Genomic DNA, 20807 nt, shown 5'->3' on the forward strand with positions numbered 1-20807 from the left:
TTTCTAGAATGAGTAAAAAGAAAAAGATTGTGAATATTAAGTGTTGGCAAGAACGTGGCACACCTGGAACTCACTCATGTATTGTTTTTGAGAGTGTAAATTGATACAATTACTTTGGAGAACTGTTTGGAAATTTCGTATTAAGTGTACACCAAATTTTGATATTTACAGCTAAAAGCATTCTAACTGTTGCAAATAGGGTCATATTGCTTATATTATTTTGAGCATGTGCTTTCATTTTACAATATACCATGAACATTTTCATCCGTCAATAACTTTTTCCATAATAGGATTTTTAATGGCTGCACTGTATTCAACGTGTTATGAGACGTTTAGGTGTTGCCAGTTTGAATTAAAAATTTAAGCAATTTGAATTGTAGGTAACTACCCAAGATACATTAGAGTACACATGTCCATCAAAAAAGCATGTATGAAACTTTACAGCAGCTTTGTTTAAAATAGCCAAGAGTTAGACACAACTCAAATGTCCATCAACAGTAAAATGGATCATTGGTATAGTCATATAATGGGGATACCACACAGCAAAAAATGGAACAAACCTACTATTCTCAACAACATGAATGAATCACACAGATACAATGATGAGCACAAGGAGTAGGTGTAAAAGTCAACATACATGTAATTTCATTTATGTGAAGTTCAAGAATTGGCAAAACTCACTTGTGGTGATAGAATCTGAGTAATGGTTACTTCTGTGGGTACTGGCTGGGTGGAGGAACAAATGATTCCCCCATGACTCGAAATGCTCTGTTTCTTGATTTGGGTGTTGGTTATATGAGGGTTTTCAGGTTGTGAGAATTAAGCATGATTTGTGTAATTTTCTGTATATACGTTATACTTCAATGCAAAGTTAAAAATAGAATGCTAACAAGGAAAGCTGGTAACAATGGCAGATTACAAATCAATGCAAAGTTTTGGAGGGAAATTTAAGGAAAAGCCTTGATAATATATACAACCATTACCCAATATTTTGTTTCTAGAAAATTACCCCTGAAACCAAACAAATATGCAAAGATTTGTGCAGGGTGTTGTCACACCATTATGTATAATGGCAAAAACTGGCAACACCTAAATGTCTCACAACATGTTGAATACAGTGCAGCCATTCAAAATCCTATTACAGGAGTAAGTTATTGACTTTTGAAAATGTTCATGGTATATTATGAAATGAAAGAGCATGCTCAAAATAATACAAGCAATATGATCCTATTTGCAACAGTTAGAATGCTTTTAGCTGCAAATAATGAAATACCTTTCTAAAATAAGGGCAGATTATTATCTCAAATAACAGGAGTCCAAAGATAGGGCAATTTCAGGGTTGGCTAATGAAGTTGCTCAAAAATGTTATCCGGGATCTAGATTTTTTCTTTGGTGTTGGTTTTTGTTTTCAGCCTAGTTCTTCCTTGCTTGCTGGATGGCTGCAGCAGTTCCCTGAATCTCCACCTTATAGAGCCAAGCTGAGCAACAGAAAGAGGACCATCATCTTCTGTGGACCTCTAAGAGCAAGGAAAACATTCCCTCAAAGTCATTCTTGTGCATCTCACTGGCCAGAACTGTATCACATGTCCAATGTCTAAACTATTCACAGAAAAGGGAAATGGGATCACTGTCATTATCTTAAACCAATCATGATTGGATTCCCTGGAGCTGCGCTGTGCAGGGGGTCATTTTCCCTGAGCCCATGACAACAAGGAGCTTGAACACTTCTACAAAACAAGAGCTTTGCCAGCCAAGAAGAAGTGAGCAGAAGTGAAGACAGACTGCCACTGAATAGGCAACCCACAGTGTTCACCCCATCAAATACATACCAAAAAGGCATAAACCAAGCTCTGAACTTGCTCATAACCCTCACCTCTGGGTAGTAAAACTGTGGTTGATTTATTTTAGTGTTTTGCTCATGGTTTTTGTCACTGGACATGTATTATGTTATAATAAAAAAGTCTTAAATGTTATTTTTAAAACAATAATTTAAAAATAAAAGGGAGCTTGCAGATCATTAAGCACATCCCCAGCACTTTGCAAATTGAAAAGACATGTTCCTGAAAGGTAGAGTAATGCTTATGAAGCCACAGTCATTTCCTTTCTACTTCTGTTTCCATTCTGTTCCTCCATCCTTTCACAATCTGCCTCTGAGCTACTCAAAGTCTGACTTCAAAGTGATGCTGGATGGAAGGGACCTCTAAGGACATCGAAGTCAACCTCTTACAGGAAACCCAGAATGACAGCAGCTTACTCAAGGTCACCCAGCTACCTAGGGAGAAGACCCAAAGATAGTGATTGGCGCTTTAGAAATCCTCTGATGAGTATACTTCTCCAATTCCTAAAGCCAGCCCAGGGACAGCAAAGATTGAGCAAAACCCAGGAAAATACTGATGGCTCAGCCATCTTGCTGTGGAAAGAGGAGCAACACCCTGCTTAAGAATGTGCCACACATACCCCATCCCCATCCCCATCCCCAAATTAAAGTAAAAGTCCTCTTTCTGGTGTTACCTCTCTGCTGTTAACCTTGCCTTCTCTGCCAGCTGCATTCCCATAAGCTGGAAACACATCCAATTTTCTCCCAACCTTTAAACAATAAAAATATTTAACTCTGCCTTCTCTTTCTAACACTTTTCATCCAAATAGCTCAAAAAGATAATCTGTGCTTTCTTTTTCTAATTCCTTACCTCTCATTTTCTCCTCAACTCATTCCAATCTGCTATACCACTTCCATGGGGTAATACCACTAAAATTGTTCTTGTTAAGGACATAAGTGACTCCTATCATGAAATCTGAGGAAATCCTTAAGTTCTTATCTTACTGGACCTCCCTGTTGCATTTAACCCTATTGTCCACTTTCTCTTTCTGAATGCTCTGCTCTCTTGGTTCCCAAGATGACTTGCTTTCCCCAATTCTCATAACTTTCTGGCCATAACTTTTTCTTCATAGGTGGGAAGATGGATAAAGACATATTTCTGATGATATTGTTTTAACAGCTTGATCCAGCCATGCCTGAAGCCTGACCCAGATTTTTTTAGTTATAGGAGCCAACACGTTATTCTTTTTGCTCAAACCAGTGTTCGCTGAGTTTCGGGCACTGGCCAGTGGAGCTCAGCACAGCAGTGGAATCCTCTCCCTTGGTAACTCCTTCCCTTCTTCTACTGGCATGTGCAGCACTAATGATAGTACTAACTAGACACAGATCCCCAACGGGCACATAGTGGAGGCTAGACATACAGTTAGGGAGGAGTAACTCAAGAATGGCAAATTTGGATCCTCCAAACAGAGCAGCTTGCCTCAACATACACCCCAGCTCACGGGTCTCATTTGATGCAGAGAGCAGGCTAAACCAAATGGATTTTGCCAGCTAAGCACTGCCACAGCCATCAGCACTGTTTGAGATGGGCCCCCAAATGCCAATCTGCTTCCTGGCACAGGAACCCTGAAGGGCAATCTCTCTGCCAGCCTTTGCCCTCTGCAGCTGGGTGAAGCTCACCTAAGACTACCCTACATCTCTATACACCCCCAGAGGGCAAGGCACACATGGGAAATCAATGACTCACCTACACAATTGCTGGGAAAGCTCACATCAGCTACCAATGGTGATTAGGCGAGTCCTTTGTTTAAAAATGGGAAGAGACAGTGAAAATTTTCTGGACATGCAAGGAGAGTGAGTCAGTGGCCTGAACTGAATACTCGGACCAAATAGCTCATGCTGAAATAGGGTTAATGCAGGAGATATAGAAGAAAACTTTAGTCTTACGATCATGTTCCTTGAGACTCATAAGCGTACTCCCCGACAAAATAATCTCAGGCAGTTACAAAAAAAGTTATAGAGACTAGTATAAACTTGAGTTCAAAACTAACAAAGCCCACTCACACAAAAACTTAGAATAGCAGACAGGTGTGGAGGCACAAGCCTGTAATTCCAGCACTTTGGGAGGCTGAGGTGGGCAGATCGCTTGACTCAGGAGATTGAGACCAGCCTGGGCAACACAGCAAAACCCTGTCTCTACAAAAAATACAAAAATTAGCTGGATGTCGTGGCACGTGCCTGTAGTCCCAGCTACTTGGGAGGCTGAGGTGGGAGAATCGCTTGAGCCTGGGAGGTCGAGGCTGCAGTGAGCTGAGATTGCACCACTGCACTCCAGCCTGAGCAACAGAGTGAGACCCTGTCTCACGAAAAAAAAAAAAAAAAAAAAAAAAAGAATAGTATTTCAACATTATAATTAGCCACACATTTTTTTTAATTTTTAAAAAATGTATAATAGCAATTTGATGCAGCAGCATATTAAGGAAGAACTTGACATATTTTATCCTAGAAATTCAAAGATGACTTAATAATTATCAAATCCTATAATGTTTTCCATGTTTGCAAATTATTGCAGAGCAATAATCATTACATCTAGAGGTTAATATGGAAAAATAGGTGCTGATACTGATAGATACAAAAAAAGGCATTGGTAAAAATTCCATTTTAGCTGGGCACAGTGGCACACAGTTGTAGACCCAGCTACTAGGGAGGCTGAGGCAGGAGGGTAGTTTGAGCCCAGCCTGGGCAACATAGTGAGACCCCATCTCTAAAAAGAAGAATCCAATTTTAATTATACTCTCTCTCTCTCTCTCTCTCTCCTACTAAAATAGGAATAAAAGGACATTTCTAGAATGTAATGAGATTATCAGAAGGCTGCAGGAAACATCATGAAAACAGGAGAAAACCTGCCTTAGCAAACAAGAATGCTTGCTGTCTCCATTCCTAATCATTGTTTTGGAGCTTCTAGCTAATGCAATAATATAAGAAAATTAACCAAGATTCATAAATATTTTTTAAAAGGAAGGCACAAAGTAATTATTTGCATGAGATACTCTTGTCTACCAAAAAAGTCCCAAAGAATCAACTCAGAACTAATGAAAACAATATGTGAATTTAGTAAGATAGCTGGTCAGAATATACATTTATAAAAATCAATAGCTTTCCAAATCCTAGCTTTCCAACAGCAAGGACAATTTAGAAAATAAATGTAGTTGAAAAAGATCTTACTCACAATAGCAGCAAAAACTATCACGTACCTAGAAATAAACCTAAACAGAAATATGTTAGGTTTATAAGAAGCAAACTATAAAACTTCACTGGAGATCATAAAAGAAGACTTAAATACGATGGAAAAATGCACCAGGTCCCTGAAGGAAAACTCAATATTATGGGAATGTCAATTCTCCTCAAATTAACCTATAAATTTAATGGCATTCCCATCAAAATCCCAATGGCTTCCTCTCCAAAACCCATAATCCGAGTCTAACGATGAGAAAAACATCAGACAAACTACAATAGAGGATTCTTCCACAAAAGGCCTGCCCAGGACGCCTCAAAAATGAGCTATCAAAAACAAGGGAAGTATGAGAAACTGTCCCAGCCAAGAGGGGCCTAAGAAAACAGGATGAGTAAATATAATGTGGATGAGATCCTAGAACAGAAAAAAGTACTTTTAGTAAAAAGCTAAGGAAATTGGAATAATCTATGAACTTAATGTAGGATTTTGGTTCATTACTTGTGGCCAATGTATTGTACCAATGGAATGTGTTAGTAATAGGGGGAACTGGGTACAGGGTATATGAGAACTCTTTGTAATAGCTTTGCCATTTTTCTGTAAACCTAAAATTGTTTTAAAACATAATATCTAGTTTTTAAAAGTTCCATTGGATTTTGAAGGGGAAGAAGAGAAAATGTTTCCATTTTTATTTTAAATGTTACCTGAAATGATAACAGAGTGATAACAGGACAGAATTCCTATTTTAAAATTAATGTGTGCCTAGTAAGCCAAGGTGAAGTGAAAAGGTGTCCATCTCCTTCTCCTCTTGAAAAACCATCCTGGAACAAGCAGAACAAAAAACACAACACAAAATCCACCTTGGATAAAACAAGGAGGCATCTAAAGTATTACCAGATTGCAACATAGGCAGGTGGAAGACAGCTGGAGGAAGGGCTGCCTTAGTAGAGAAGATGGAATCAAATCTGAGTACCCAATGCGGGGCACTGGAACACAGAAAGCCAATTTGCCCACAAGGAATCACAGGAAAGGCTTAGAAATGGCAAGAACCAGGTCCCTTAGAAGGCCGAGGTGAGGGCTGCGGCTGAAAATAGAAGGATCATTTTCCAAACCTTATTAAAGAAGCACTGAGACCCCCAGATTGCCCATCCCAACCCCACCCAAGGCAGTTCCCTTGCTGTCCCTGTGGACCACCATAGTCCTTTCCTAGAGCGATGGTCATAGACAGACTTCTAAGTTGTTTTCACCAGGCACTGAGGAGGGTGGGAAACTGCTGAATCAAAAACAGATGGGGGCCGGGCACAGAGGCTCCTGCCTGTAATCCCAGCACTTTGGGAGGCCGAGGCGGGTGGATCACTTGAGGTCAGGAGTTCGAGACCAGCCTGGCCAACATGGTGAAACCCCTATCTCTACTAAAAATACAAAAAAAAAAAAAAAGAAAAAAAATTAGCTGGGTGTGGTGGCAGACACCTGTAATTCCAGCCACTCGGGAGGCTGAGGCAGGAGAATTTCTTGAACCTGGGAGGCGGAGGTTGCAGTGAGCTGAGATCGCACCACTGCACTTCAGCCTGGGCGAGGGAGTGAGACTCTGTCTCAAAAACAAACAAACAAACAAACAAACAGATGGGGCCGAGGCAGGCAGATCACTTGAGGTCAGGAATTTGAGACCAGCCTTGCCAACATGGTGAAACCCCGTCTCTACTAAAAATATAAAAATTAGCCAGGCTTGGTGGCACACGCCTGTAACCCCAGCTACTCGGGAGGCTGAGGCAGGAGAATTTCTTGAATCCAGGAGGCGGAGGTTGCAGTGAGCTGAGATCGCAGCACTGCACTCCAGCCTGAGTGACAAGAGACTCCGTCTCAAAAAAAAAAAGAAAAAAGAAAAGAAAACACAGATGGGAGGCTGGGTGTGGCGGCTCATGCCTGTAATCCCAACACTTTAGGAGGCCAAGGCAGGAGAATTGCTTGAGCCCAAGAGTTCCAGACCAACCTGGGCAACATGGCGAGACCTCCTCTCTACAAAAAATAAAATTAGCCGGGCATGGTGGCGTGCATCTGTAGCCCTGGCTACTCAGGAGGCTGAGATGGGAGGACTGCTTGAACCCAGCAAGGTTACAGTGAGCTGAGATGGTGCAACTGAACTCCAATCCAGCCTGGGTGACACAGTAAGACCCTGTAAAGAAAGAGAGAAAATAAGCAAGCAAGCAAACAGATGGGTAAGGAGCTGTTTGAGCCCTCCAGTTCCTTCCCGACTCGGGTCCAAAATTAGAGATCCCTTCTGACCCAGCATTACCTTGAAGTCAGAGCAGGACTAGACTTATGACTCTCAACCCTTGTGTCCTCTCTCTGCGTGCACACATACACACACGCACACATACACACACATACACACACGTACGTGAGAAAGTGGAGGGTCATTCTTTGTTAAAGAAAGGAAGACCTACACCACACGGGGAAAACACAGCTTCACCCTCCAGTAAAGCATTCAGGCTGTGAATCCCAACCACCTGGGTGTACCAAGCTTGTTGAGTAACTTGCTCTCAAAAATGAAAACGCAGCCAAGGATCACCAGATATTTGAAGAAAGCCACTGCCTGAAAGGGAGCCCAATGAACAGGGGGGAAAAACTTGAAGAAGCAGGTAATACAGAGAACAGAAGGAAAAAAAGATATTCTTAGAGAAGAGAAAACATTGCAGTCATTCAAAATAATGGAAGGAGGCTGGGTGTGGTGCTCCCGCCTATAATCCTAGTATCTTGGGCAGCCGAGGAGGGAGGATCACTTACACTCAGGAGTGCAAGACCAGCCTGGGGAACATAGTGAGACCCCATCTCTATAAAAAACTTTTAGAAATTAGACAGGTATGGCGGCATGTGCCTGTAGTCCCAGCTACTTAGGAGACTGAGGTGGAAGGATCGCTTGAGCCTAAGAAGTTGAGGCTGCAGGGAGCCATGACCATGCCACTGAACTCCGGCTTGGGTGACAGAGCGAGACTCTGTCTCAAAAATAAATAAATTTAGTGCATGATACACATGGCACTACAAAATAATGAGGAATAGATGGATTATTCTATAATTGGTGTTGGGGCAACTCTCCACTAAGGAAAACATAAAGTCACATCCCTATGCTATACTCTACACCAAAGTAAATTCCAGCTGTGTCAGATATTTAAACAAACAAACAAAAAGAGCAATCAGAAGAAAATCTAAGATTTTTTTTTTACAATATACTGAAGAAGGCCTTTCTAACTATGTTCACAAAACTATAAAGGAAAAACAGAAAACATCTAAATTTCCATACAGCAAAAGACATCACAAATAAAGTTACAAAAATTGTTTGCATTGAGAAAACTGCATTACATATTTCAAACAAAGCATTCTGCTATCCTTAATATGTAAACTACATTTCTAAATCAATAAGAAAAATAAGGGCCCCAATTTTAAATGGACAAAGGACATAATCAAGCAATTTGCAAAAGAGGCATGAAAGATGAGTAAACATATTAAAATAAGCTCATCTTGCTAGTGGTGTCATATAATTTAAAACAACAATGAGATACATCAGTTGCAGAGCAAACCACTGAAGATTAAGCAGATTGATGGTGTTCAGCATAAGGGTGTCGGGGAAACAAGCAGGCTCATACAAAATCAATGAGAACTGACACAGGCATGAACACTTTGCAGGACAACTGGGCAAAATGTTTTAGGACAACTGGGCAAAATGTTTTAGGCAGTGGCTCACGCCTGTAATTCCAGCACTTTGGGAGGCCGAGGCAGATGGATCATGAGGTCAGGAGTTCAAGACCAGCCTGGCCAACATGGTGAAACCCCATCTCTACTAAAAACACAAAAATTAGCTGGGCATGGTGGCAGGCTTCTCTAATCCCAGCTACTTGGGAGGCTGAGGCAGGAGAATCGTTTGAACCCAGGAGGCGGAGGTTGCAGTGAGCAGAGATTGCACCACTGCACTCCAGCCTGGGTGACAGGGCGAGACTCCAACTCACAAAAAAAAAAAAAAAAAAAAAAAATGTTTTTAGGATGTAAAGCAGGGCATATCCTTTGACCCTGAAATTTCATTTTGGGAACTCATCTTAAGGGAATAACCAGAGAAGCAAACAAAAGATACAACTAAGGATGTGTACTGTCGTATTTTTATGATAAAAAATGTGATCTAACCTAAATATCCATTCGTTTATGTGCCTATGTGTTGGTCTTCCTTGGGATACTCTGAGCTTCACATAGGAAGGGACTGTAGGTGTCTCACTCATCTTAGTGGCTCTCGTGTCTGACGTGTCAATCAGTGTTTTAGAAATGGAGGGATGAGTTCAGGGAAAGAGAGAGAAACAATGTTGAAGGTTATTTGGAATCATTAAGCCCAGTGATTCCTATATTTCTTACTTTCATAACTGGAGGGAACTACTGTAGGTTTGTCAACCTTTTATTTTGCCAAGTAGGGTCCCTCAGAAAAACAATAACACCATTTTCATCTTCTACACATGCTATTATTACCCTTGCATAAAAGAAAAAGGACATTTGAACACCAAAAATAGTAGGAAATATATTATCTCAAAATGAAGATCATCCTTTAAATTGAATAGCTTTAGCTTTATGAAAACAATGCTACATTGCTTTATGGTTTTCATCTTCTCAAGGACAAGGGAAATGTTCTCTGACAAGGGTGGCTGTATGGATTGACATGTGGAAACTGGTCCCTCACTTTACAAATTGAGAGAAAACCAGTGAGGCTCTGAGCAGATACAGGATCTGACTGTAGTCCCCCAGGAGTCAAATAACAGGGGTGGGACTAGAACCCACATCTCTTGGCTCCTGGCCCAGATCTCTATTCTTTCACGACAGTGCTCTCCACCAGCAATGTGGCTGCACCATTTCTGGAATCAAGAATATTCCCCTATGGTGGGACTTTGGAGATCATTAAACATAACATCTACCTGGGCATAAATTATCTTCAGAAGAGCCCCCAACCTTGGCTTACACACCTCCAGTAACAGGAAGCTCACCACTTGCAGTGGCAGCCCTTTTTGTTGGGTGGCTCCATTGTTTCGGCACTTCTTATTTTCCTGGAGCTTATCTGTCTCATTGTGGCTCCACCCAGCAGTCCTAAAGCTGCTCCCCAATCTGCATGAAGGTCTCTCAGGTTTAGGAGTGTGTGGCATTCAGGAGTCTTCCTGGAGTCTCCTGGGACAAAAAAAAAAACAACCTCTCTAATGCCCCAGTCCCCATCCCTTTCTCTAGCAACCCTCTACAAGACTGAGAACATACTTCATCTCTTGAATGATGATTGAATCCAACATTCCCAGCCCTATTTACAGAGAAGGAGACTGAACAAGTGCTGGAGAAACCATCAATTCCAATACTCAACACCATTGAGGACTTCCAAAATGGAGAGAGTTGCCCAGAGTCCCAAGTTTGGAAAGAGTACTCCACAACTTGTACTCCAATCAGTGATTTCAACCTCTTTGATTTTACCAGTCTGCCAAGGTCCTGTCTAACAAGGCAAGCTCTACCGCTGGCTCTCAGCTGATATCTGGGGGTTTCCTTTGCCTATTCTCCTGGCTAGACACACTGTTAAGAAATTTTGGTGAATAACTGCATGATCATCTACAAGCTCCATAAAGTCTTGGTTTTAATGTTGCAAGCAACAGAAATTGCTCTGGCTGATTTTGGTCACCAGCCTCCAAGGTGACCACCAAGGATCCCTCCTCCTGGTGGCTGCACCCTCGTGTAGTCCTCTCCCACACTGTACCAGGGTTGGTCTGTGTGACCACAGAATATGGCAGCAGTGATGTCATGTCACTTCTGAAATTAGTTTATAAAGGGCTGTGGCTTTCCTGGCCTGTCAGAAACTGTGTGATAATAAATGTTTACTGTCTTCAGCTGCTAAGTTTCAGGCAATTGGTTATGCAGCAATAGACAACTTGTAAATTGAAAAGGAACACAGTGAAAGGATTTCAGGTAGCTCATGATCCTCTGGAAGGCTGGAGAAACAGGTGTGGGGTGCACACAGCCAGAGCCACAGCCAAGATCATGCTAGAGACCTGATGTGGTAAAGACATTGCTCCCCAACCTGACCAACAGATGCCAAAGCCTGCACCACCAGCCCTAGGCCAAAGCTCTGTTGGATCCAGCCACTGACATTACTGCTCCTGAGAACGGACTGCACTGCACCCCACCCATGCCTGAAAGGACTGTCCATGATCCATGCTTCTATTATCTCTAGCTCCCAATTCAAAGTCAGGAAGATGCATCTGATTGACAGCCTGGGTCATGGACCAGTGCCTTACCTGCAGGGAGGCCAGGGAAGGGAGTTTTTGTTGTTTCAGCTTCTCCAGTGGGCAGGGAAAGGGCACACTCTGCTTCTCCCCAAGGCTCAGAAGGTGGGATGTTCTCCAGCCACTGGAAGGGGAATCAGATGCTGGGAAGCCAGAAAAAAAGACACACGTTTGCTTCAATCTCATCTAGAATTCAGGGATAATTCAATGAGATGGTTTATGAGCATGCCTACAAACTCACTGGGACTCAGTAAATGTTTATCATCCAGATGGCAACCAAGGTGATCTCATGAAAACAAATCAAGTTCCGGGTCTCCCCAGCTTAAAATTACCAGTGGCTTCCACTGCACTTCAAAGAAAGCCAAACTGGAAAACCCTGGCAGAGATCCCACCCACTTCTCCCCACATCTGCTTCTTGTCCTTCTTGCCACACTGCACCCTGGGCACACTAGCCTTCTGCCACTTCATAGAACAAGCCAATTCCATCCTGCTCAGGGCCTTTGCACTGGCTGTGTCCCCTTCCCAGGAATTCTGCTACTCAACTCTTGGTGGAGCTGGCTCCTTTGTATCTAGCAAGACCCCCACTGAAATGCCACCTCCTCAGAGATGCCTTCCCTGTCCTCATGATCTAGGGATGCCCCTCACTCCCACGCCACTATTCCCATACCTCTCCACCTTTCCATGCCTCAACAGGAGGGACTAATGGGGGAGATTTTCTGGAGCACAGGTAGGGGATAGTGGTTTGGGCCTCCCAGGGAGCTGGTAGGAGCAAGGCAAGCTGCTTGTCAGTAGAGCAAAAAATGGCGATGATGATCTGACCCAAGGCATTTTGATCTTAGCCACTGTCAGCAGCTGGATGAGCAATTCCTTGGGCTTAAGCCAGTCCCTCCTTCCTTCCAAGAGACGGATCCCTCAGCTGTTGGGTGAATGGACAAGATCAGAACAGAACTGTGCCTGGCTTAACATGAGGCCTGTGGAATCCAGGTCCCTTCAGCAGCTCTTCCAAATGTGGATTTATTTAAAGCATTTATCTCTTACCATTAAAAAGGGGAACATCTTTAATAAAAGGCAGAGAAAGCAAGGCTGAGCCAGTAGGATTAGAAGCAGTAAAGCAGTAATAAGGATGCAACTGCCAAAGCTGTTAGAAGTGAAGGTGGAATTTGGCTCTGAGCTTCCTGGCAACCCGTGCAAGAAGGGAAGGCTGATCAGTTACGGAGCTCTTCTTATTAGCAAGGAAGATGCTTGCCAGTTCCTTGGGGAAGATGCAGTGTGTTTCAGTCTTAGTTTTTTCCAGGTACTAAATCCTTATTGAAATTTTGCCCTTGTGCTTTCAGGAAAGGTCATATGTGCAATAAACAATGTCCTTGTTTTACAACAAATGTGGAAGTGAATCCCCAGTGACTCTTCCTTCTAGGATCCAGGGGGCATTTACCTTGGAGCTAACAGGAAGTATTTTGCTTGGTGTCATTATTACTAGTAGGGGGTGGAGGGAAGGCCTCAGATGGACTTTTCCTTCTAAAGAGGTGAACTCTATTCATTTAGAGTATCTCAGTAGCCTTCACAGGGACCTGGAGGTGACTGGGATTGTTAGTACATTTTTTGCAAGAAGAGGTCATAATGTACCTGGCCTTGAATCACAAAGTTCTGGTCAGCTCCTTTTTGTGAGATACGCTCAAGGGAGAAATTAAGGAAATATTTCACCACCCATTAGGCTGAAAAGCTGCATTATGGAAAAGGACAATGAACCAGAAATGACTAACAGCAGATGACACTGAGCAATGGAGTCAGGCAGACCTATGTTTGAATCTCACCCTGCCTCAAACTAGCTGTGTGACCTTGGGCAAGTCTCTTAACCTCTCTGAACATGGTTTCTCTGCCTGCAAAAAATAGTGATGATGATATCCTTCTTGGATTATTGAGATTATTGAGTATAGATGGTAATAACCCAGAAGGTGTGTACCATATGCCCTATTCGCTTCAATCCTGTTCTCCTTCCCCTTCCCTTAAGTTCTCAGGAAATGCCAGTGGAGCTCTTATCTCATCCCTACTTCTGACTTTCAGGCCCAACTCAGCCCACAGAGGGAAACTGAGGCACTGCCTCACAAGACGTGCTTTGTCTAGACTGCTTGTCCGTGGTGATCACACTCAGGGTCTGGGACCACTTTCTGCCCACTTTCTGCCCACATTGACCCAGAGCACATGTGTCAACCCTCCAACTGCCTAGGGCTTCCCTTCTGAGATGTTTCCAACAATTCCCCCAGCCTTGTTTCAGATTCCTTCCTGTGCCTTGGCCTTGACTATGTAACTACAGGGGCAGTTTCTTGAGGGCAAAATATAGAACCCCTGGTCCCAACTCTTCATGCCATGCAGGAAAACACTGGCCCCCAAAGAGGACAAGTCAAATGCCTCAGGCGACAGGTTGGGACTCAGACCTGGGTCTCTGGATCACACCGCATCTCTTTGCTCCCCACAGCCCCTGGACAAGTCCCAGTGTGACGCCTGAAGCGCTGACTCCCCAGCCTGCAATGCCTGAGGACCCAGTCTCACCCTACAGATGCAGCTGAGGACCTACGGCTTCCTGGCAAAGGAAGCCAGGATAGAAATGGATGGGGAGATTTAAATAGAAAACCAATGCCACAAGAAATTCCCTCCTTACCTCACTTCCAACTTGCCAGCTCATTCTCTTAAAGATCTTTTTGCTCTCTGGAGGATGGGACCACTCCCCTCCTTTATCTACTTCTCTTTTTGCCCTCATCTCCGATATCTCTGCCTCACCCTCTACCCCAGTCACTGCAGGACACATGTCCAACACCCTGGGTACGTTGACGCCTCGAGGTCTTTGCTTCTGCTCTTTGCCTTCCTGGCAATGCCATCCTACCATTGGTGGAAATTCCAGGCCTACCTCTGACATTACTTCCTTGGTGAATCTTTCTCCTCAAAAGGAACAACAAATGGCTCCTTCCTCAGTGCTCTTTTCTCGGCCGGGCACTTGGCATCCAAAACCATGCTCAGTGCAACTGGAGGTGCATTCAGTTCTGAATTAATTGAAGTTATCTGCGAGTGCCTTCATCTCTTGGGCAGACCAAGACCTGCCTGAAGGATCTTGTCATTCTAATCGTGGAACCCCTCCCCCAACCCCCGTCCCCCAGTACCCGACACTCTGCCTGGCACCAAGCAGAGAAATACTCAGGAAACTTACAGTTGCATTGAACCTCATATAACGATAGGGTTGTTACTGTCTCTTGAGCATCTACTGAGAGCAGCTGGGTGCTGGGCCCTTTAAATACACTCTCATGGCTCCTTACACAGAGCCAGGAACGTGGGTATTACTGTGCACCACTTTGCAGATGTGGGAAATAAAGGCTCAGAGAGGTGAAGCCAGTTGCTCCAGATCACACAGCCAGTAACAGGCATGAGATTCCAAGAAGCTGTGTTTGTGACGCCAGAGTCAAGGGAAACAAATGATGTGGTACCCACAGTGCTCCCTCCCTCATCACCCCCACCGCCTCCAGCTCCACATCCAGATTCCAAAAGCCATGAGCACCCCCATCTGACCATGAACGCCCATCTGACCATGAACGCCCATCTGCGGATCGCCAGCAGCAAGGTTGACACGGAACTCCTTCCGCCTTGGGAGGAGGCTTCCCTGGGGTAGTACCCTCTGGGGGCCGTCTGGGCAACTCTTGCAGGGCTTCGTGGATGTTTGGGGAAAGCACTGGACAGCGCCTCGCCCAGGTGCCTTCCTGGGAATCACCAACTGGGGTTTACTGCCCCAATTTTGGAGCTTGCACAGAGCATCCTCCCTTGGTAGGAGAGACGTCGCCATTGGGCCACAGGACTTGTAGAGGACGCCACGAGAAAGGGGTTGATTGGGGAATGGTTGTCCTGGTTACGCCACCCTGCAGTGTCCCTTGCCCTCCTCCAAGGCTTCCAGCCCCATCGCAACCTGTCAGTTTTCCAGGCGCTCAGGAAAGCATGTCAAGCACTCAAGCACTCTGTGACAATTCCACCCCCGGCCCAGTCTTTCCCTCTTCACCCCCTCTCTGTGATGTCGAATCCCATTTCACAGATGGAGAAACTGAGGAATCGAGCAAGTGAATGCCGCTTAAACATCTTTTCCAAGCCAGCCAGGGACCAGCCCCTCCAGTTCTCAGAATCTCTCTCCCTCTGTAACATATTTTGACTTGAAGAACATGTGCGATTCGTGACTACAAAACCGCAACCCCACATAAAGAGTTAATATTTTTAACGAACCCCAAGCCCCTCACCCTCAGCCTTCGCGGGACGCCTGCGTCTCGCAACTTCAGTTTGTATCTCCAAACTGCTGAGCATTCAAAGGGTTAAATGGGACCGGGAGGGGGCCAGCCGCGGAGCCCTGAAAGGGTTAAAAATCCAAACGCGTCGACTCCCCCCGACTATTTGGTTCCAAATGGACAGCCACGCGACCGGGAGAGCCAGGGAGCCCCCCTCACAATGACTTTATTAAAATTTGAGAACTTTTACTTCTGACCCCAAAAAAGTATCCCAGTTCGAAAGTTCTCTCTTAACCTTTTCTTTTTTTCATCTATTTTTTTCTCGATTTCTCCACGGGCTGGATTATAAAACGCTCCCTCTCCCTTTGGGTTTGGAGAGCCGGGTTCCCCCCTCCGGGCAGGGCGCGGGCCTAAGGGGCCCCGGGAGTTTTCTCCGGGGCCGGGTCGGGACGCGGCTGGTGAGTCCCGGCTCCGGCCCCTGAATTGGGGGGTCCGCGTCTGCCCCAAACGCCGCTTTCTTCCGTTTTCCATGTCATTTCCTGTACTAATAAGATGGTGGTCAAAGCAGGGGAGGAGAGCAGCAGCGAGTCGCCGCCGCCGCCGCGCCGAGGCTGGCGCTGAAACTTTGCCTCGCCGGGGACCAGCGCGCCCGCAGCGCGGCCGCTCCCTCCGCGGGGGCCGCCAGCCGAGGCCGCGCCGCCTCCGCCGAGCCGCCCGCCGGGCCGCTCTCGCCGCCCGGGCCCCGCGGCTGCCGCAGCATTCCCGGGAAGGTGAGTCAGCCCCGGTAGCCAATGTGGCCATTGAAAATGGCTTCGGAGAGCGCTCGGCAGTTTGCCAGCGAGCGCGGGGGCCGCCGGTGCGGGGGCCGGGAGCGGCGGCTGGGGGCGGGGGCGGCCGGGGGTCTCGGCGCGGGCGCGGGGCGGGGGTCCGGACGGCGCCGGCGCGGGGTGGGGGGCGGCCCGCCGTGGCCGCGAGGTGGGTGAACCCTCGGCAGGTAGCTGCCGCCGCCGCGGGAGCCGGGGGCCGCCCTCCGCCTCCTTCCTCCCAGCTCGCTCGCTCCTCGCCTTGTTACAATGTAGCCTTTTCTCTCCGCAAGCGGCGCGCCCGCTGACGGACGTGGCCGCCGACCAATGGGAGTGGCGGCCCGGGCCGAGCGCTCGGAATGAGAACGCGGTGACACGGACGGGGCGGGGCGCGGACGCCGACGCCAGAGGGCTCGCCGCGGCCGCCGGCCTAGTTCTCGCGGACGCCCTCGGCCCCGCGCCGGGGGCTGCTGCGGGGTGCTCGGGGATGAAGGTGGGAGGCGTCCTTTGGGATGCGACGAAGCCTTCTCCATCGCGGTTCGCGATTGCCCGCGAAGCGTGGCCGAGCCGGAGGGCATTTCTGGAATGCGTTTTAAGTGTCAGTTGCGGTGTAGACTCTTCGGGAAACCTCTCCGGAGCGTAGCCTCCACCCCCCACTCGCAGTCCCCAAGGTACTCTCCTATGCAGAAACTGCAGAAACTTAGCGGCCAATGACCTCTCTCCGGTCAAGGCCAGCGTGCTCTAGGCGAGTCGCTGCAAAGAGAATACCAATGTCTTGGGCGATGCTGGTGAAAAATTGCTGGTGTGTGTCTAGAGCCCAGTTGGGAGATGGGGGCTTAGAACCCCCCAGGCTGGGCTGGGATTTAGGGGAGAAAAATGTGAAACGTCTCCTCTTTCCTAGACGTTTGCTTCGTGTGGAGAAAGGCTGTGCTGTATAATTTAGAGTGGCTGTAAGGAAACACACCCAGCCCTTTGTGCGTGGGGCCAGGAGGCAATGATGAGAGATTGCTCTTGGTACCTGGAAACCCTATAAACTTTGGGGGTTTGGGGACAGAAGAATTTTCTGTGGAGCATGATGCCTGTAGCAACCAAGCTGGTCCTTGCCCACATTTCCTCTTGGGAGGGAGGAAGGTTCGGGCTTTCCTAGGGTCATTGTTGGAGGTGTAGGGTCGTAGTTGGGGAGCAGGGCACAGTCTTTGCCCGCCGACTCTCTGAAAGGTGGACAAGCAGAGTTCTATAGGGCACGTGTAGAAACCTTCCCTTCTGGGAATAGAGCCCAGACCTCTTGCTGTATTCAGTTTAATGGAAAGGCTTTCTCTCTTTGAATTCTACCTCCTCCTCATAGTCACTGTCTGACTTTGGACTTCACATCGTTGTCTTTGGCCTCTCTGAGCCTTGTGTCTCCATCCCTGAGTCCAACAAAACCTGCCCGGCAAGGAAGTTGTGAAATTAAATGAGATAGCAAAGATGAAATGCCTGTTCCAGGGCCTGGCATACTGTTTAAGAAGTGTTCTCCCCCAGAATCACGGCAGAAGGTACTGACCTGGGAATATCAGAATTGCCCCCACAGACCCCACCGTGGTCCATCCAGTCTCAAACTGACAGGGCCCCAAGGAACAGCTGGTGGCAGGGTCTCGTTTCCTTCCCTGGTGACGTTCACAAAGATGAGGGACTCCCCTCAGTTGTCCTAGGAGTCCTAGATTGGTCATGATAGCCATCACCTCTGCACTTATGGACTCATTTGACCTGAGTTACAGTTCTGTCGTCTAGACTTCTTGGGTTGATGTGTTCCATCAATTTCTTCTCCTTGGTGTCAAGTAGGATTTCTCCTATTTGGATCTGCCCTCTCCTGGACTTACAGGGAGTTTCCCTGGTTCCAGGTTGTTGGCAAGTATAAAGTAAAGAACACTGGGGTAGGAGTCGGGAGTCCTGCCTGTGGATTCAGCTGCCTTCTTGGCCTGCTCTCTTGGCTGTCTCATAGGCATGACAAACCCACAGTGGCCAAAGGTGTCCATAATCTTCCTCTCTAAACCTCTTCTAGGGCTCTGATCTTGGCCAAGAGCACACTGTCCCACTACTCTTTAAGGCAGAAGCCTTGGTGTCTCTGTCTCTGTCACCCCAATCTACTCCATCTCCAGACCCAGATAACTTTATCCTCTCAAATGAACCCATCCACTTCTCTCCATCCCCTCTTCCCCAGTGTTGTAGTCAAGCCATCGCTGTCTCTCCCCAGGACAACAGCAAGAGCCTCCTAATGTCTACCTGCAGTCACCCCCTCATGGCAGTCAGAGTGATCCATTCCAAATAGGATCATATCAGGCATCCCATTTCCTGCTTTAAACACCTAGAAGTCTTTCCAGTGTGTTGGGGATAAAGAACCAAATTGGTGTAGTGACCTAAAAGCTACCGAATGATCTGGCCCCTGCCCTTGACCTCATCTTCTATCCTCTCCTAGATCTCTCTGAACTCCATACCCCGATCTCTCCTACATAGGCTGGCCTTTCCTCCTCAAATCCTTGAGCTGTTGTCATCTAATGAATAAATTAAGGTTAGCAAAGGGCACAGTGGGATGGGAGTGTCTGGTGGTCCTTAGTGCTTTCCTCTTACTATTTCCGGTTCTTCCATTTCCACAGTAGGTTGACTGGAGCTCTACCTGCGCTTGGGTGGGGGCCCCATGACTGGCTGGTGAATTATAAATGACAGTGATTCACGTCACTTCTGGGCCACAGCATTTAATTGCTGGTGTGAGACCCTCCACAGTGCACTTTCCCTGTGGCATGGCAACTGGTAGTAAGGCGGGATGGTGGTGGCTGCTGCCAGCCTGAGTCCCTGTGTCACTCCGTGCGTGAAGCCCTTGGTGACCCATGATGGACATGCAACATGAGTGAAAACTAAACCTTTGCTGTTTTAAACTGCTGAGCTGTTGGGGCTGTTTGTTACTGCAGCATAACTTAGCCTGTGCTGACCGATGCAGGGACTAGAGAGGCATTTTAGGCAGAGAGACAAGTAGTGCATGTGCAGTTAATGCACAGAGAGAGGACCCTGACTTGGAAAGCAGCTAGGGTGATCTTTTCGACATGCATATCTGAGCTTATAAACCCCTGCCTGAAAGACCTTCAGGGACTCCCCCTGCTGTGAGGAGAATGACAGAAATCCAGCTGCCCTCCAGACTCTGCAGGGACACCATCTTTTGTCCCTCCCATTTGTCATGTTCTGCCTCACATGGGCCTTCCTCATGCTGTTCCTTCTGCCCTGACCTTGCATTCCACCCCCTCTCCTGATGAGGCCTCCTCATCCTTCCTCCTCCATCTTCACATCCCCTCTTCAGGGAAGCCCTCCCTGATTAGGCTGAATTCCCTTCTTTATAGCTTTCTTGGCCCACCTACCTCTCCTTTGGAGCACTCACATCCATAGCAATTTCCCACTTATTGGTGTAATGATTTGGTTGCAGCCTTGCTCTTCCATCAGACTCTACCAGGGTTGCTTTGAGTGTGCTGTTGGGTTTGCACTTGAGAGTTGCTCACCAAACACCTTCTGTTGAATCCTTAAGCATAGATAGAAGGCCCACTGTGTGCTGAGGGCTGGGGACAGGATGAGGGAACACCACTTCCCTGAGCTGCGGGCTGGTGGGTCCAGCTGGAAGGAGGTGTTAGGCATAGCTGGCAAAATGACTGGCTTGTAGAGTACAGATGGTACGTTCCCCATCCTTACTGGTGTCCATGGCCCAGGGGGACTGTGTGCCAGGGATGTAGCATAGGATATTCCAGGAAAGCAAGAGGATGAGATTCAACATTGACTCGAGGTCCCTGCTCATCTGGATAGTATATGATTCAGTGAAGGGGCTGCAGAACAGGAGATCTGGGGAAGATGAAGAGGAAGAAGAAGATGTTGATGATGGCAGCTAATGTTTTTTGAGGGCTTATTGTGTGCTATCTGTGGTTCTAAGCATGTCACATACCCTGCACTGAAAACAGCTCCACAAGGTAGATATTATTTCTGTTTCACAGATTGAGAGACTATGGCTACAAAAGATGAGGTAAGGGACCCAGGGTTAATGGTGTGGCCAGGATTAGAACCCTGGCAGTCTGAGGCCATCTCCTTGGTATGTCTTCTTGGAGTGAGGGCAGAGAACCCCAAACCCATTTGGAAGCATCATGTGGTGTTATAAAGCTGTCATGGGAGAGCGGGCCTCCAGTGGGGTAACACCTACCTAACATCGGGGTTTGAGCATGGGGTTCTTGGCTCAGAGGTGACTGGTGGCCCTGGTGCCAGGGCTGGTCTAAAACTGCCTGGTGCATCTCTACCTCCTGCTGGAGGCTGAGACTCCTTGGAGGCCACAGAGCCCCATGTTCTCAGAGTGAGGCCTGGGAGGGGCTTCCCGACAGCTGACCCTGGAGCTGTGCTGGAAAAACAAGC

At 46.9% G+C, this 20807-nt stretch overlaps 1 protein-coding gene and 1 long non-coding RNA gene across 10 annotated transcripts in view, besides 2 other annotated features; one reads left to right on the forward strand and one right to left on the reverse strand.

Annotated features, from left to right (window-relative positions):
* LOC105376652 (uncharacterized) overlaps window positions 1-16264 on the reverse strand; it is a 40299-nt gene extending 24035 nt beyond the window's left edge. For 2 of the 3 annotated variants that reach the window (XR_931241.3, XR_931239.3), the window contains exons 1-3: window positions 14535-16264; window positions 11348-11478; window positions 10043-10241 (exon numbers count right to left, since the gene is read on the reverse strand). This is a non-coding gene — a long non-coding RNA (uncharacterized LOC105376652). Of the gene's footprint in view, window positions 1-10042; window positions 10242-11347; window positions 11479-12767; window positions 14443-14534 lie in introns of those variants that run through there. The other variant, XR_931240.3, reaches the window with a different exon arrangement.
* The window catches only part of PRDM11 (PR/SET domain 11), a 140951-nt gene that overhangs the window by 36361 nt on the left and 83783 nt on the right, over window positions 1-20807 (forward strand). For 3 of the 7 annotated variants that reach the window (NM_001384648.1, XM_011520225.3, NM_001384649.1), the window contains exon 1: window positions 16120-16358. The exons of 1 other annotated variant lie outside the window; for it this stretch is intronic. The gene's annotated coding sequence lies outside the window, so the exon portion shown is untranslated. Of the gene's footprint in view, window positions 1-16119; window positions 16359-16823; window positions 17063-20807 lie in introns of those variants that run through there. 3 more of the 7 variants (NM_001256695.2, NM_001256696.2, NM_001384650.1) reach the window with 1 other exon arrangement.
* Window positions 16521-16600: a silencer, noted in NCBI's record as "silent region_3285". NCBI's record gives its function as "represses an Ori minimal core promoter by ATAC-STARR-seq in GM12878 lymphoblastoid cells {active_cell/tissue: GM12878}" and the evidence as "EXISTENCE:reporter gene assay evidence [ECO:0000049][PMID:35858748]".
* Window positions 16681-16870: a silencer, noted in NCBI's record as "silent region_3286". NCBI's record gives its function as "represses an Ori minimal core promoter by ATAC-STARR-seq in GM12878 lymphoblastoid cells {active_cell/tissue: GM12878}" and the evidence as "EXISTENCE:reporter gene assay evidence [ECO:0000049][PMID:35858748]".

This window comes from Homo sapiens, chromosome 11 (genome assembly GCF_000001405.40).
Source record: "Homo sapiens chromosome 11, GRCh38.p14 Primary Assembly".
Lineage (NCBI taxonomy): Eukaryota > Metazoa > Chordata > Mammalia > Primates > Hominidae > Homo > Homo sapiens.